Source organism: Homo sapiens, chromosome 1, assembly GCF_000001405.40.
Source record: "Homo sapiens chromosome 1, GRCh38.p14 Primary Assembly".
Taxonomy (NCBI): domain Eukaryota; kingdom Metazoa; phylum Chordata; class Mammalia; order Primates; family Hominidae; genus Homo; species Homo sapiens.
In genome coordinates, this window is record NC_000001.11 from 56718620 (window position 1) to 56735839 (window position 17220).

Genomic DNA, 17220 nt, shown 5'->3' on the forward strand with positions numbered 1-17220 from the left:
GAAAAGGAAGATAAAAGAACCTAGAAGCTTAAAAAAAAAATGGCCTCAATATAAAGAACAAGGCCATGGAAACAAATTCCATCACACTTGTGAAGGCCAGAATAACCCTGCTTAAAGAACTGAGTGAAATTCTTCAGTTTTTCAGCGCTGAAAAAGCCACTTTCAAAAATTTTAAACTGTTAAATGCATATGTAGAATTTATTTCTCTTATTGACATGCAGTGCACCTCATTTAAAAAACAGAATAGATGTCAGCTTTTAAATTTTTATTTAATTCCATATAAATGAAAGTACATATGAATGCTATTATTTGAATAGTTATTTGGGCATAGACAAAATAATGACAATTGTTCTTATTTTGGACAAAAAGATGTTTTAAAGTAATACAGCATATATATTATTTTGTTAAATACATTTGGGCACTTCTTAAAATGATGGGTGAATTTAGGAATAAATTATTTTTCTGCAAACTATTCCCAAAAGAAACAAATGTGGAACAGTATTCATATGAGTTTATTTTTGTGATAAAGTAAAAGGACATTTATACTTTTTTAAAGACTGAGCCATAATTAAGATTATACCTTAAACTTGAGTATTTAAAAGACCTTGGTTACACTGTTTACTGTTCAGAATTAAATTATACCAAGTTTGAGTGCACAACATCTAGAAATTACAAATGCTCATATACTAATATTAGAAGCAAACTAACCATCTGCACAACTGACTAGGTGCCATAAGGCATGATTTCTAACTTTGGATATGGCTCATTAAATAAGTGCTCAAATGCTAACACATACTGTTTCACATTCTCTTGAACTGACAGTGAAGTAGATACTGAAATAGACATTGAAAGATAACCTTTTAGGAGTAAAACCAACATCTAAATGTTGAGGATTTGTTTTTATTTTTCTCTTTTAAGTTCAGAACGAAAGTTTCCACAGATTCCACCATCTCAAAATTTTGACATGTAAACTGAAACTGATGTAACGCAGGACTAGGATCTTAGGACTAGTTCTCCTTTGTGCAGTCCATAGCATTTGATCTTGATTTTTCTAAGGTGACCAACTTTGATGCCTGTGAAAAAATAAAAATATGCAAACATTTTAAAATATAGGACAATGAAACAGTTGAGTGGGAGATTTCTAGGGAATTTCTGATCTAGTTTAATATGTTTGTGTTCTTTTAAAATGTTTATAAAGCTGTGTAGAGAAGTTTGATAGCATACTCAGGAGAGACAGTAATAAAGTCTCTTCCAACATAATCCTTATAGAATAGGGCACTGCATGTCTAATTTTTAAAACTTATCCTGAATTTCAATAAATTCAGTAGTCTTCTCTTGAGACTAATGTATACAACAATGTATTAGGAACTCATGATTTAAAGTATAAAATCAAACAGCTTACTTGAAATCTAGATGTTCAATGAGCACATATCCATCTAATAGAAACAAAAGTCACCGTTAATTTGAAAGTTATAGAGAAAATGTTTTTTTAAAGCATTTTAAGATTTTTTAAAAAGAATGAAATATTATGAAAGATAAGCAAATAAACTTACATTTGCCTTTAGAATTACGACATATCACTAGATTTTGTTCGGTGGTATCAATGACTTCCAATTCTTCTCCAGGACTTATTGGCAAATCAAATATTCCATTTCTTGAATTATTGGAACAGGCCACTGCTGTATTGATGACAATAATCTCTTTGTCGTACTGAAATGAGAAATTACTAATCAGACCATTCTTGCATAGTTGTTATTTTTCATAACAAAATTAATGGAGGATATAATATAGTAACTTCAAAATTAACTCAAGATACTATTGACTAGTTAAATAACACATACAGGAAGAGAAAATAGGAAAGTATGCAGTTAAAGGAAAGTCGTTTAAGAAAATAATAGTAAAATGGTGCAATCTCACATTTGTTTGGTATGATTATACTTTCAAAGTGTTTTCACAACCATTATTATTATTTTTTCTCTCAAATCTTTTTTAAAATTATTCTTTTTAGGTATGGGGTACATGTGCAGGATGTGCAGGTTTGTTGCATAGGTAAATGTGTGCCATAGTGGTTTACTGCACCTGTCAACCCATCACCTAGGTATTAAGCCCAGCATGCATTAGCCATCCTTTCTAATACTCTCCCTCCCCGCACCCTATCCCCAGACAGACCCCAGTGTTTGCACAACCGTTATTTAATTGTACTAGAATGAGCCCTGCTGGATGAGGTTGTAACATAGGTATGAATTAAGCACCATAGATGGTAGTTAACTGTTCCATTACTAAAACCTCTGTGTAGTGCCTTAAAGCTTATAATATTCTTACATACCTATCATTTCTAGATGACACTCTTTCCATGCTTTTTCTCTGTGTGAGCTTATGTATTCTTATATATAGCTATACTACATGTTATTTCAAAGTAGTAGGAATTGACTGTATCCAGTTGGGGGCAATTCCCAGTCTCCTTTTGTATTCACAGGCAGGCAGGCATTTTGTTAGAAACTCCTGAGAAATTCAATTCCTGACCTTGGGTATCTTTTCCTGACAAACTGACCTATACATCTGCAGCACATCACTTTCTAATGCACTGAAATCTGTTGACCACAAATAAATAGTTCCAGAATACGCAGCTTAGATTACAGGTACCTACTTCTCCAAATTAGTGTGACCAAATATCTCCTTTTGCCCAGGGTATTGTCTGTTTATAACTAATGTATCTATCTATAACTATTTATTATTATGATTAAGAGTGCCTCCTTCCACTCTTAGAAGTGTCCTGTGTTTGGATCATATATTACAAGATCAACCTATACCAAATGAGATCAGAAATACAAGACAGATTTTTCCTTTACTTAAAGTAATCGCTTCCTTACTGGCTTTTTTATCCTTTACAGGCCATTACTCACTGTGAATTCATAGTGATTTCTTAAAATACAAATCTAATTGGTCACCCTTCTATTTACAAAGTTCTAAAAACTCCTTATTGCTTTCAAGATGAGATCCACACTGCTTAGCTCGACATTTGGGGTCCATTGCATACTGTCATTCCCCATCCCTCTATCTTTGTCCCCTTTACTGAAGCTGCATCAAGCTACATGACAATCCTTGAATACATGCTGTTTACTTGAAATACTCTTATGTCTCTTAACCACTTCACATGAAGACTGTTATGACTGCCATATATAATTTACTGTCTTAACTATGCTTTATATCTATTCCTATTATAGAATTTAATAACATACTGTCTTATCAAATGAAAATAGTAGACAGTCTTATTCATCTTTGTACCCCCAGTGCCTGGCACAAGTGAGCTATACAACGTTTTATGATTTGAGCTGGACAAAAATTATTGAAATGGCCTATCAAGGAAACCCACTACAGGTAATAAGAATGGAATTATACACATATACAGGAAATGGAATATCTTTCACACATGAAACAATAAAAAACACACAGAGGTGGAAAAAAGGATTGGATGGAATATAAGGGTCTTTTCAACAAGTAATTGCCTCACTGTTGTTTTTCAATTAATCAAGTAACATCAGGGTTGCAGTAGATAATAACATATCACAATTTCTAGATATAGTAACCCCAATCAGCTTTGGTTCAAACAGGAATTATCAGTGATGATGAGAGATTTGTGTACATTCCTATTTTAGTTCATCTCAAAAAATATTTTATGCATGTTTACAAAATGCTAAGCAGCCTTATTATGCTCTGCACATGGATATAAACATAAATAAAATAACCATTGTCCTCTAGGAGCTCATAGTGTAATATGATGAACATGTAATTCCAATTACTTTAATGTGTGATAAGCTAGAGATTGCTCAAGTATATAGGTAAACAGAAGAAGAGTAATTTATTTAATTAGAAGATTTGGGCAAGTCTTCCTGGAGAAGAGGAGATGCCTCGACTGGGTCTTGATAAATGAACGAGCTAGTCAGATACAGAAAAGTGCAAAGGTGTACCAGAGAGTTGGAATAGACCAAGGAAGCACTTAGAGGGATGAAATAGCAAGACAAAGATAGAGGTGGAGGTTCATTCGAGGGACAGAACTATGAGCAGTTTGTTGCCAAAGCAGAAAGTGCAAGGCAAAGAGTGGCAAGAGATAAAGCCAGGAAGATATGCAAAGATCAGGACATAAAGAGCTTTCTATGCCATGTTAAGAAGCCTAAACTTTAACCATTTTGCAAGGGGGAATTTTTGAAAAATTTTAGGCAGCATAGTGACTATGAGGAGGATGCACACTTTGTCTCTCTCAGTCCAGTGTCTAGCACATGGAAGGTGCTCAGTATGTTTCATAGTTAATAATCCTCACTTTGACAATATATGAAATCAGGGAAGTTTGAGCTTTAGAATAATGAAAAAATGTCCCATGGACTCTTAATAACAGAATAAGAAGGCAGAGAGCTTCGGATGCTGCATCATTCATTTGTTCATTTTGTCATTCATTTGCTTGTTTATTTAGGCATTCATTTACCAAACACTGTGCTTACAGTTTTATGTCAGGCCCTGGGGAACAAACTTGAATGAGACAGGGTTTCTTTCTCAAAAAGGACTCAAGAGATTAATTAAAGATTCACAGACACACACACACACACACACGCACACACACACACAAATGCTTTAATACAACTAATCAGTGTTACAAAAGACGTGTAAAATAGACATATAAAATGTGCTGAAGGAGTAACTTAACCTGGACGAGTTAGGGAGGAGTGGGTGACATTTGAACAGAGCCTTCAAGAACAACTTAGGAGTTTTTCCAGGAAGAAGGAATAGCATGGACAGACATAACAATATAGAAATGTACCAGGAAAAAATAGGAATGAAATGCTGGCTTTTTGTGTCAAAGATCATGTCTGTATCTCAGAGAGGCAGAGGCACAGCATACTTACAGATTTTTTTTTTAAATGAAAGCTCCTAGCTGTTAATATTGCTAATTTTTACCTTCAGAAGAGAACGTACCTTAAACCTTTCTCTAAATAGTTTTTCTTCTCTTTTCATTCTGTTCTTTTCTAAGTTTTGCTTCTTGGTTTTGAAGAAATTTCTAGGAGAGAAACTAGCAAGAAATGTGCAGGTAGGGTAAAACGTACTATAATAAAACTTTTTAAGTTTCTGAGCCTACGAAGTCACTTCATTTCAGGATAAATTCAGGTATAATTTTTTGTGATCATAATTTTATATAAAATAATACACAAAGTCACGCATCTGTATTTGTGTATATGTACACACACGTATGTAGGTTCATAATACAAATACACACATATATTTCCATTAGAGCAAATTGTCAAACAACTGATCAGGGTAATGTCAATTGCTTTTCGCTACAATTAAAAAAATATTTTTGATGGCAAGATAATAACGGGATAAAATCACATTGGTTAAACAAATGAAGGTAAACAAGAAACTTGTCTGAATGAGACTTAGAGATATAACTTTTTCTTTTTTTTAGGTTTAGGAAATTTATAAATGTTCCCATTCACCTTCAGACTATTTAATGGAAACCAGTAAGAATAAGTAAGCAGCTTACTTTGTGTGGTTTTCTAAGTTGTTAAACCTAATTGGGGATCACAAGTCTACATGGTTCAATCGAAGAGCTCTCCAGTTTGCTGAATGTTTTGGAGGATGAATACCATTAAGAAAATAAAGAAAGATGCCACAAAACGTGTGAGAATTTCAGCACTTAAAAATAAATAACCCTACAGAAGAAGCTGATTATACTCTTAGTCCTCCCTCTTGCTCTTCACATGAGATTTGGTTCTTCTTTTTAGCAGTTCAATGTATTGACAGAAGTAAAAAAGTCAACCAAGTCCTGTTAGTCTTATTCCTAAGTGTCCCCTACATTTGTTTATTTCCAAGATTACAGCCACTGCCATATTTCAGATTATCACTACTTATTGCCTGAGATGCCATCTTCGTCTTACCTCACCTTCCTCAAATTCATTGGTGTATCTGCCTGCAGAGTCATTTTTCTAAAATTTAGTTATGTCACTCTCTTGCTTAAAACCTTTCAATTTCTCTCTATTGCCAATAGGATAAAGTCTAAATTCATTAGCATTTTATAATCTGGCCTGATCATCTTTCCAGCTTCATCAGCTGCCCATTTCCCTACACATTACAATGTCTACTTGGGTCATCTTAGAAAGTGGGTTATCCTTTTCATGCTGTTATACATGGGATACTGCTATGGTTTGGATATTTGATTCCTCCAAACCTCATGTTGACATTTGGTCCCTAATGTTGGAGGTGGGGCCTAATGGGAGATGTTTGGGTCATGGGGTTGTCTCCCTCATGAATGGCTTGCTACTGTCCTCTTGGTAATGAGTGAGTTACCACTCTCACAGTTTCCTAGAGCCTGGCATCTCATTTGTTAAAATGAGCCTGGCACCTCACTTGTCTGTCTCTCTTCCTTTATAGCCATGTGATGTCTGCACATTCTCCTTCACCTTCTGCCATGAGTAGAAGCAGCCTGAGGCCTTCACCGAAGCAGATGCCAATGTCATGCTTCTTGTACAGTCTACAGAACCATGAACTAAATAAACCTCTTTTCTTTATAAATTACCCAGCCTCAGGTGTTCCTTTATAGCAACACAAACAGACTAAGACAGATAACCTTAGCCAACTTTTCTTTAAACTTGCCATCATCTTTGATTGATAAAAGAATAATAAAAGGGTTGAACTAATACTTCTTACTTACTGTTAGAATACATTATGGTAGAAATCATTTTAAAAATGATACAGAAATTGATACAGAAATAACTAGCCTTACAGTAATGTTTTCTAATTTACTTGGTTCAGAATAAAATTATACTGTTATATCACTCTGTTGTAAAAAAATAAAAAGGCACTGGAAAATTGTTTCCTAAGAAGACTTATTTGTAGTTATCAACATACTAAAAAGCTTTTTGGGGGGCAGATCAAAAATGTTACTAATAGTTCATCTCTTGGAATTCTGTTTTGTTATGCTGTGCAAATGTATGTAAAAGTATGAAGTTTAAGATAGAAAGCTGCTTTTCTAGTCTGTTAATACATCTTTCCAGCCTGAGAAAAATAAATTACATCAAGTCTAAACTTAAAGAAAATAAACTTACGAGAAGGGCCATCCAATGCCATCCTCTGAATCTCAGACACTAATGTCTGGTTTCCTTTGGTGCACCCCAGTAGGACTTTTCTAACAGGTTTCCCAGAGCAGACAGACTACACAATGTTCACATGTCAGTGACTATTTAAGCAAATATTTCCCCAAGTCATTTGTAGAGAAAGTACCTCATATCCTGCCCCATGTCCTAGCAATTGAGAAGATGGGATCAGAGAGCAGTAAGTAACCACCTGCCTCAGTAAAAACATCCTCTCACAACCACTTGGGAAATTTAATTACATGAATGCAGGTTAGATCTTGACTCAGTAAAACATTTTCTTGTAAAATTCTAACACTAATTGTAGTCATAACTAGAATTATATTTTAGGGAAATTAGTCTTACTATATGATACCTAACTTTTTTTTTCTCAAAGTTACATTTAAGTTCTAATTAGTGTTTTATTTACATTATATCTTAGAGAGGGAAGTTCTTACACCTAAAAGAAAACTGGAAATTTGTCATTGTTTGAAAATGGCTTACTTGAAATCTCTCACTTCCTATCCACCAAAAGTAGGGAGGAAGATGATGAAGATACATGGGTATGACACTTAATATTTTTATATTCTTTGTCCCTTTTAATCCTCTCAACTGTACCATGATGTAGGTGTTGTTATTCTCATCTTGTAGATGAAACAGCTGAGAATCAAATTTCATTACTTATCTGAGGCCACACAGCTAGTAAGAGGTATAAATTGCAGCAGATAAGCTATAATAGAAGTGCCTCTGTGTTCCCACCTTTCTGATTCTTCAGCACCGTTTTTCTCTTTTTTTTCCTTTGGTGTCAGAAACTTGGGCTTCCACATTTTCAGTTTATCTTCATCTCTGAGGAGAAATATATTTTGAGCAAGTAAATTAAGACTGAATTATATATTCATGGAACCATCAACACTTCATGGGCAATTATGTTTTACAAAAAATTAAAAAGTCATCTAGAAATATATTTTGATAATCCATGGAAAGGCCATATAATAAATATTTTAGGCTTTGCAGGCCATATTATCTCTATGGCAGCTCTTCAACTCTACTGTTGCAACTTTATACACAGAAACAAGTGGCAGGCCATATTTGGTCCTCAGGCCATAGTTTGCTGACCCCTGATGTGTGGTAATCCAAATTTGAATCCAGATGCAAGAGATCAGCCTGCTTATAATCACATTTCATCTCCTTTATGAGCCTCAGTTTTGTTTTGTTTTTTTTTTTGCCTCTAAAATATGAACAATGTAACTGAACTCCATTGTGAAACAAGGCTAAGCCAACTAGCATGTAACATTAGTGATTCCAGGCAAAAGAGAATGCAGGGAAGGGAGAAGGTATTTATTATAGAAAGAACTAGTACTTTTTAGCATGTATGTGTCAGGTCTTATGCTAAGCATCTTACATATGTTAACTCATTTGGTTTTCAAAGTAAGTATTGCAACAATCCTTTAAACTGATCACTCAAAGTTTTACAGTACAAGGGAGGAAATGGATGAGCAGAGAGAATGAAATGGATAATCATAGTGGTATGACCACTTTGGAAAACAAGTTGGCATTTTCTTATGAATTTGCATTCCCTATAATTTGCATTTTTTCCCCTTCTAAGTATATCTTCTAGAAAAATTCCTGCACACATTCACAGGAGCTGTAAGAATATCTGTGGCAGTATTATTTGTAAGGGCCCCAAATTAGGATCTACCTCAATACTTATCAACAATCGAATGGATAAATGAATTATGGTATACACATACAATGGAATACTATAGAACATTAAAATGAAAGGAAAAATGAAATATTATATTTGAATAAAAAAGTTACATAACTCTATATACAGTGTCTCATTTTCATAATGTTCAAATCCCAAATGAAACAATATTTGTATCATATGTTTGTTAAAACTATTTTTATTTTGAACAAGGAAATGAAAACACCAAATTTATGAGAACAGTCACCTTGAGGGAAAGGATACATGAAGTATACAAGGGAAAGAGGCCAAGGTATTGGTTATGTTCTAGTTCTTAAGTCGAATGATAGGTTCAGGGCAATTCGTTTTACCATGTTTTACCATGCTTTACAACTTTTTGTTTTCTTTTGATTTTTACAAATGATTTTTTAAGAAAAAGAATTTATCCAGATTCAGTGCTATGCACTTGTAGTTCCAGCTACTTGGAGGCTGAAGTGAGAGGATTGCTTGAGACAGGAGCTCAAAGTGCAGTGTGCTATGATCACGCCTGTGAATAGCCACTGCATTTCAACCTGGGCAACATAGTAAGACCTCATCTCAAACAAAAGAGAAAAAGAATTTATTCCTTACCCTAACTTGATATTTCAGGGTTCTCTTCCATCTTATGCCAAATTACATTTCCTGTTTGTAACACCACTTTCCTGATCATATATGCCTTATGGTCCAACACAACTTCCCAAACACAAGTGTTTTCCATTTACAGTTGTCTACTCCCCCTCTTACCCCTCCCTTTTCTCTCATCTTCTTTTGCTCCCAGTCTTCACCTGTCAAAACGTTACCTGTCTTTCCTGTTTCAGCTTGGCACAAAGATTTTTGATCGCCTAAATAACAGTAATGCGTACCTATTCTGAGCTTCCAGGTTATCTTGCACATTTTTATAGCAGGTCCTTCTTTGTTAACTAATTTATCAAATTATGTTTTGGTATCAGGCACGTGATACAGATATGAAAGCCACAGTCCCTACCTCAAAGAGTTCCCAGTCTAGCAGATGAGAAAGTCAAGAAAACAGACCATTACAATTCTGAGAAAAATATCTTGATAAAAAAGGGAGTACCTAACTTAAATAGATAAAGTTAGACAGGGCTTCTTAGAAAAAGTGAAATCTGAATTCAATTTTAAATAACGAGGGATAAAATAGCCAGGCAAAAAACATGGCAAAGTGTGTTACAGGTAGAACTATTCTTTTCTTCTTAAATTATCACCTTCTTGAAGAGGCTTTCCACTGCTATCCATACTTTAAAACCCCTACCATCACAAACCCTATATCCACTCTCTTTCAAAAAATCCTGTTTCAAAGCAACCAAATTCCAATGTGTAATTATAGACTTATTTTTTCATTTGTTTATTGATTTAGTCACTCTAAGCCCACAGGAGTAGGAATTATATCTCTTTTGTTCACTGCTCTATACCCAACACCTAGCACAGTGCCTTGCACAAAGGACATGTTCAATAAATATTTGTTGAATGAATTGATGAAGTTGGAACAAATGTGAAGGTTTGGAAATGCTGGACAGCATATCCGGTCTAAGGAACTCCAAGTAGTACAGTATGGATGGAACACAGGAATAGTGGGTAAGCAGGAAGAACAGGCGAGGCTAAGAGGTTGCCAGGGGCTGGATTATGAATAAATTTTATGTCTTCCTAAGCAGTTTTGACTTCATTCTGAAAGTGATGGTTAACCACCAAACAGTTTTCAGCTGTTGGGTGGCAGGTGGTCACATTTGCACTTAAGAAAGTTTGGAGAATAAACTGAAATGGAGGTAAGATGGCCATTCAGGGAGTTGTAGTAATCTGGTTGAGAAACAATAAGACTGAATTGTGGCTGTGCATTGGGGATGGGAAAAGTGGGAACAGTTTGAGTTATTGGAAGAGAGTGATGGGAAGGGAAAGGCACAAGAGGAGAAGGAATAACAGATAACCTAGGGTTTCAGCCTGAGCAACTGTGTGTTTATTGAAACAGTCACCAACATAGAGATCAAAAGGACCAGATTTGGGGCTCCATCTTCAGTGGACCCAACACTGGAGCACCCAGATATATAAAGCAAATATTATTAGGTCAAAAGGGAGAGATACACCTCAATACAATAATAGTTGGGAGACTTCAACATCCAACTCTAAGCAGATTATCTAGAAAGAAAAACAGCAAACATCCTATTTAAACTGCACCATAGACCAAATGGACTTAACAGACATCTACAGAACTTAATAGACATCTACAGAACATGTTACTCATGTTCTGTATAGTACACATTCTTTTCATTATTAATGGAACATTCTCCAGAACTGTTCATAAGTTAGGACACAAAACAAGTATCAACAAGTTTTTAAAAATCAAAATCATATCAAGTATCTCATCTGAGCACAGTGGATTAAAACTAAACATCAATAACAAGAGGAACATTTGAAACTAAACAAATATATGGAAATTAAACAACATGCTCCTGAACAACCAATGGGTGAAGGAAGAAATTAAGGATAATACTTAAAAATTCTTTGAAACAAATGAAAATAGAAACACAACATATCAAACTTATAGGACACAGCAAAAACAATATTAAGAGGCAAGTTTATAGCAATAAATGCCTACATCAAAAACTAGAAAGATTTCAAAAAACAATCTAATGATTTGTCTCAAAGAATTAGAAAAGGAAGAACAAACCAAATCCAAAGTTAGTAGAAGAAAAGAAATAATAAAGATCAAAGCTGACATAAACAAAATTTAGATAAAAAATACAAAAGATCAATGAAACAAAAAGCTGGTGTTTTGAAAAGAAACAAAATTGACAAACCATTACCTAGACTAGAGAGAGAGATGGGGTGAGAAGGAGAGGGGAGGGGAGGGAGGAGGGGAGGGGAGAGGGAAGGGGAGAAGGAAAGGTAAACGGGAGGAGAGGGGGAAAGGTAAAGGGAAGTGGAGGGGAGGGGAAGGAGGAGAGGGAGGGGAGGGGGAGAGGGAGGGGATGGCAAGTTCAGGTAAATAAAGTCAAAGTGAAAAAAGAGACATTACTTAGAGACCACTGTGAGCAACTATCTGCTAACAAATGGGAAAACCTGGAGGAAATAGCTAAATTCATGGAAATATACAACCTACTGAGATTGAACCAAGAAAAAATTAAAAAACTTGAAAAGACCAATAAAAGTGATGAGATTGAATCAGTAATAAAGAGTCTCCCAAAAAAGAAAAGTCTAGGACTAGATGGCTTCCCTGCTGAATTCTACTGAACCTTTAAAAAAGAATTAATACCAAATCTTCTCAAACTATTCCAAAACATTGAAGCAGAATGAACTCTTCCTAACTCATTCTATGAGGCCAGCATAACCCTGATACCAAAAGCAGACAAGGATACGAAAAAGAAAATTACAGGTCGATATCCCTGATGAACATAGACACAAAAATCTTCAACAAAATATTAGCAAACTCAATACAACAGCACATCAAAAAGATAATACACCATGATGTAGTGTGATATATCCCAGAAATGCAAGAACATATTAGTGGGATATATCCCTGAGCCCAGGAAGTCAAGGCTGCAGTGAATCATGATCATGCCACCACTGCACTCCAGCCTGAGTGACAGAGTGAGACCCTGTTACAAAAACAAAACAAAACAAAACAAAAAAACCCAACTCACTCCCAGGACATCCTTCCTGCACACAACCAGGCTGCTGTTCCTCTGTAGCCTCACACACTGACCCCTGGGCTCACTTGGTGAGCACATCCCCAGAAAGAGGGTAGGTGGCAGGAAAGATCGCTGGCTTGGGGGCAGGCCACCTGGATCTCAGACCTACCTCTGTACTCAATAGCGTGGACAAGTTAGTTACCCTTAGCCTTGATGTTATCATCTGAGACAATTTAAAATATTTTTTTAAATTATAAAAATAGAGATGGGGTCCCACTATGTTGCCCAGGCTGGTCTCAAACTCTTGAGCTCAAGCAATCCTCCCACTTCTGCCTCCCAAAGAGCTAGGTTTAGAGGCATGAGCCACTGCACCTGGCCAACTGGGAACCATTCTAATCTATCATGGAGGGTTACTGTGATAGAAAGGGAAGTATCAGGCTGGGGAGATTTCAGCTCAGCTCATGAATCACTGGCTTCATCATGTGAAGCCGGAAATTCTCTAGCCATCATCCCCTCCATGGTCATATTGATGCCCATCAATCAGACCACCAGGAACATGCCTGCAGTCAACAAAGTTGGGTCATTCAACATAGGCAAATCAATAAATGTGAAACATCACTGCAACAGAATGAAGAACAAAACCATATGATAATTTCAATAGATGCAGAAAAAGCATTTGTCAAAATTCAACATCCTTTCATAATAAAAGCTCTCAATAAATTAGGCATAGAAGAAAAGTACCTCAACATAATAAAGGCCATATATAACAAACCCACAGCTAACATCTTACCTAACAGGGAAAAGCTTCCAGCTTTTCTGGAATAAGACATGGATGCCCACTCTCTCCATTCTTATTCAACAAAGTACTAGAAGTTCCAGCAGGATCAATGAGGCAAGAGAAAGAAATAAAGGACATCAAAATGAGAAAGGAGGAAGTAAAATTGCCCCTGTTTGCAGACGACATGATCTTATATCTAGAAAAATCTAACAACTTTACCAAGAGACTCTTAGAACTGATAAATTCAGTAAAGTTTTAGGATACAAAATCAACATATAAAAATTAGTAGCGTTTCTATACATGAACAATGAACTAGCTGAAAATGAGATCAAGAAGGCAATCTGGTTTATAATAGCTGCAAAAAACAAAAATACATAGGAATAAATTTAGCCAAGGAGGTGAAAGACTTCTACAAAGAAAATGACACAACACTGATGAAATAAATTGTAGATGATGTAAACAAATGGAAGGACATCTCATGCTCATAGATTGGAAGAATTAATATTGTTAAAATGACCATATTACCCAAGGCAATCTACAGATTCAATGCAATCCCCATCAAAATACCAATGCCTTTCTTCACAGAAATAGAAAACACAATCTTAGAATTTGTATGGAATCACAAAAGACCCCAAGTAGCTGAAGCAATTCTGAGCAAAAGAACAAATCTGTATAAAGCACAGTACCAGACTTCAAAACATTCTACAAAGCTCTAGTAATCAAAACAGCACAGTGTTGGCATAAAACAGACACACAAACCAATGGAACAGAATAGATAACCCAGAAATTAATCCATGTATCTACAGCCAACTGCTTTTGACAAAAACTCCAAGAACACTCAATGGGGGAAGTACAGTCTTTTCAGTAAATGGTGCTAGGAAAACTGGATATCCATATACAGAAGAATAAAACTAGACCCCCCCACCCACCACTTACACTATACAAAAATCAAACAAAAATAGATCAAAGACTTAAAATGTAAGGCCCAAACCTCTAAAACTATTAGAAGAAAACAGGGGAAACACTTCAGGACATTGGTCTAGGAAAAGGTTTTATGACTAAGACCTCAGTAGCACAAGTAACAAAGCAAAAATCAACAAATGGGATTTCAGCAATCTAAAAAGCTTCTGCACAGTAAAAGAAACAATCAACAGAGTGAAAAGACAACTTACAGAATGGAGAAAAATATTCACAAACTATTAATCTGACAGGTGATTAATATCCAGAATATACAAGGAACTCAAACAGCAAAACAGAAAAAAAAATTCAATTAAAAAATGGGCAAATGAACAGACATTTCTCAAAAGATGACATTAAAATGACCAATAGTTTATTTGGGTAGAGGTGTTTATAGTATTCTGATGGTAGTTTGTATTTCTGTGGGATTGGTGGTGATATCCCCTTTATCATTTTTTATTGCATCTATTTGATTCTTCTCTATTTTCTTCTTTATTAGTCTTGCTAGTGGTCTATCAATTTTGTTGATCTTTTCAAAAAACCAGCTCCTGGATTCATTGATTTTTTGAAGGTTTTTTTGTGTGTCTCTATCTCCTTCAGTTCTGTTCTGATCTTAGTTATTTCTTGCCTTCTGCTAGCTTTTGAATTTGTTTGCTCTTGTTTCTCTAGTTCTTTTAATTGTGAAGTTAGGGTGTCGATTTTAGATCTTTCCTTCTTTCTCTTGTGGGCATTTAGTGGTATAAATTTCCCTCTACACACTGCTTTAAATGTGTCCCAGAGATTCTGGTACGTTGTGTCTTTGTTCTCATTGGTTTCAAAGAACATCTTTATTTACCCAGTAATCATTCAGAAACAAGTTGTTCAGTTTCCATGCAGTTGTGCAGTTTTGAATGAGTTTCTTAATCCTGAGTTCTAATTTGATTGTACTGTGGTCTGAGAGGCAGTTTGTTATGATTTCTGTTCTTTCACATTTGCTGAGGAGTGCTTTACTTCCAATTATGTGATTAATTTTAGAATAAGTGCGATGTGGTGCTGAGAATAATGTATATTCTGTTGATTTGGGGTGGAGAGTTCTGTAGATGTCTATTAGGTCCACTTGGTGCAGAGCTGAGTTCAAGTCCTGGATATCTTTTTTAACCTTCTGTCTCATTGATCTGTTTAATATTTACAGTGGGGTGTTAAAATCTCCCATTATTATTGTGTGGGAGTCTAAGTCTCTTTGTAGGTCCCTAAGGACTTGCTTTATGAATCTGGGTGCTCCTGTATTGGGTGCATATATATTTAGGATAGTTAGCTCTTCTTGTTGAATTGATCCCTTTACCATAATGTAATGGCCTTCTTTGTGTCTTTTGATCTTTGTTGGTTTAAAGTCTGTTTTATCTGACGCTAGGATTGCAACCCCTGCTTTTTTTGCTTTCCATTTTCTTGGTAGATCTTCCTCCATCCCTTTATTTTGATCCTATGTGTGTCTTTGCACATGAGATGGGTCTCCTGAATACAGCACACTGATGGGTCTTGACTCTCTATCCAATTTGCCAGTCTGTGTCTTTTAAATAGCAAAGACTTGGAACCAACCCAAATGTCCATCAATGATAGACTGGATTAAGAAAACATGGCACATATACACAATGGAATACTATGCAACCATAAAAAGGATGAGTTCATGTCCTTTGCAGGGACATGGAATGAAGCTGGAAACCATCATCCTCAGCAAACTATCACAAGGATAGGAAACCAAACACCGCATGTTCTCACTCATAGGTAGGAATTGAACAATGAGAACACTTGGACACAGGGTGGGGAACATCACACACTGGGGCTTGTCAGGCGGTGAGGGGCTGGGGGAGGGATAGCATTAGGAGAAATACTTAATGTAAATGATGAGTTGATGGGTGCAGCAAACCAACATGGCACACATGTATACCTGTGTAACAAACCTTCACATTGTGCACTTGTACCCTAGAACTTAAAGTATAATAAAAAATAAATAAAATAAAATGACCAATAAACATATTTTAAAATGTTCAACATCACTAATCACCAGGGAAATGCAAATCAAAACCACAATGAGGTATCATTTCATCCCTGTTAGGATGGCATTCATCAAAAGGACAAAAAAAAAATCACATGCTAGCAAGGATGTGGAGAATAGGAAATTCTCTTCATTCTTAGTGGGAATATAAATAGTACAGCACCTATGAATAACAGTATGGAGGTTCCTAAAAAACTACAAATAGAACTATCATATGATTCAGCAGTTCCATTGCTGGGTATTAATCCAAAGGAAATGAAATCAGTATATCAAAGAGACATCTATGCTCCCATGTTTATTGCAGCACTATATGCAATAGCCAACATATGGAATCAACTTAGGTATCCAACATCAAATGAATGGTAAAGAAAATGTGATAAACATACACATGGCAGAGCACTATTCAGCCATAAAAAAGAATGAAATCATGTCATTCACAGCAACATGGATAGAAGTGGAGGACATTATGTTAAGTGAAATAAGCCAGGAATAGAAAGTTAAGCACGACATGTTCTCACTCATATATGAAAGCTAAGAAAGGTTGCTGTCATAGAAATAAAGAGTAGAACAGAGGATGCTAAAGGCTGGGAAAGTAGGGAATAGAGAGAGATTAGTTCAGGATACAATATACAGTGAGATATGAGGAATATGTTCTAGTGTTCTATACCACTGATATGGTCAGGCTTTGTGTCTCCACTAAACCTCACCTTGAATTGTAATCCCCATGTGTCGAGGGAGGGAGGTGACTGGAGGTGTAGGCAGTTTCCTACATAGTGTTCTCATTATAGTGAATGAGTTCTCATGAGTTCTGATGGCTTTATAAGGGGTTCTTTCCCCTTCACTTTCTCTTCTCTCTCTTGCCTGCCACCATGTAATATGTGCCTCTTCCCCTTCTGCCATGATTGTAAGTTTCCTGAGGCCTCACCAGCCACGCGGAACTGCGAGTCAATTAAGCTTCTTTCCTTTATTAA

The 17220-nt window shown here is 35.8% G+C and overlaps 1 protein-coding gene across 16 annotated transcripts in view; it reads right to left on the minus strand.

Annotated features, from left to right (window-relative positions):
- Window positions 1–169: 169 nt before the first annotated feature.
- The window catches only part of FYB2 (FYN binding protein 2), a 108126-nt gene continuing 91075 nt past the window's right edge, over window positions 170–17220 (minus strand). For 10 of the 16 annotated variants that reach the window (XM_047448402.1, XM_047448401.1, XM_047448403.1 and 7 more), the window contains 5 exons: window positions 7878–7964; window positions 4969–5062; window positions 1554–1710; window positions 1403–1436; window positions 170–1073 (listed from right to left, as the gene is read on the minus strand). In XM_047448402.1, coding sequence (XP_047304358.1) covers window positions 1052–1073; window positions 1403–1436; window positions 1554–1710; window positions 4969–5062; window positions 7878–7964 — 394 coding nt within the window. In that variant the 3' untranslated portion in view covers window positions 170–1051. Of the gene's footprint in view, window positions 1074–1402; window positions 1437–1553; window positions 1711–4968; window positions 5063–7877; window positions 7965–13194; window positions 13349–17220 lie in introns of those variants that run through there. The other 6 variants (XR_007095698.1, XR_946570.2, XR_001737026.2 and 3 more) reach the window with 4 other exon arrangements.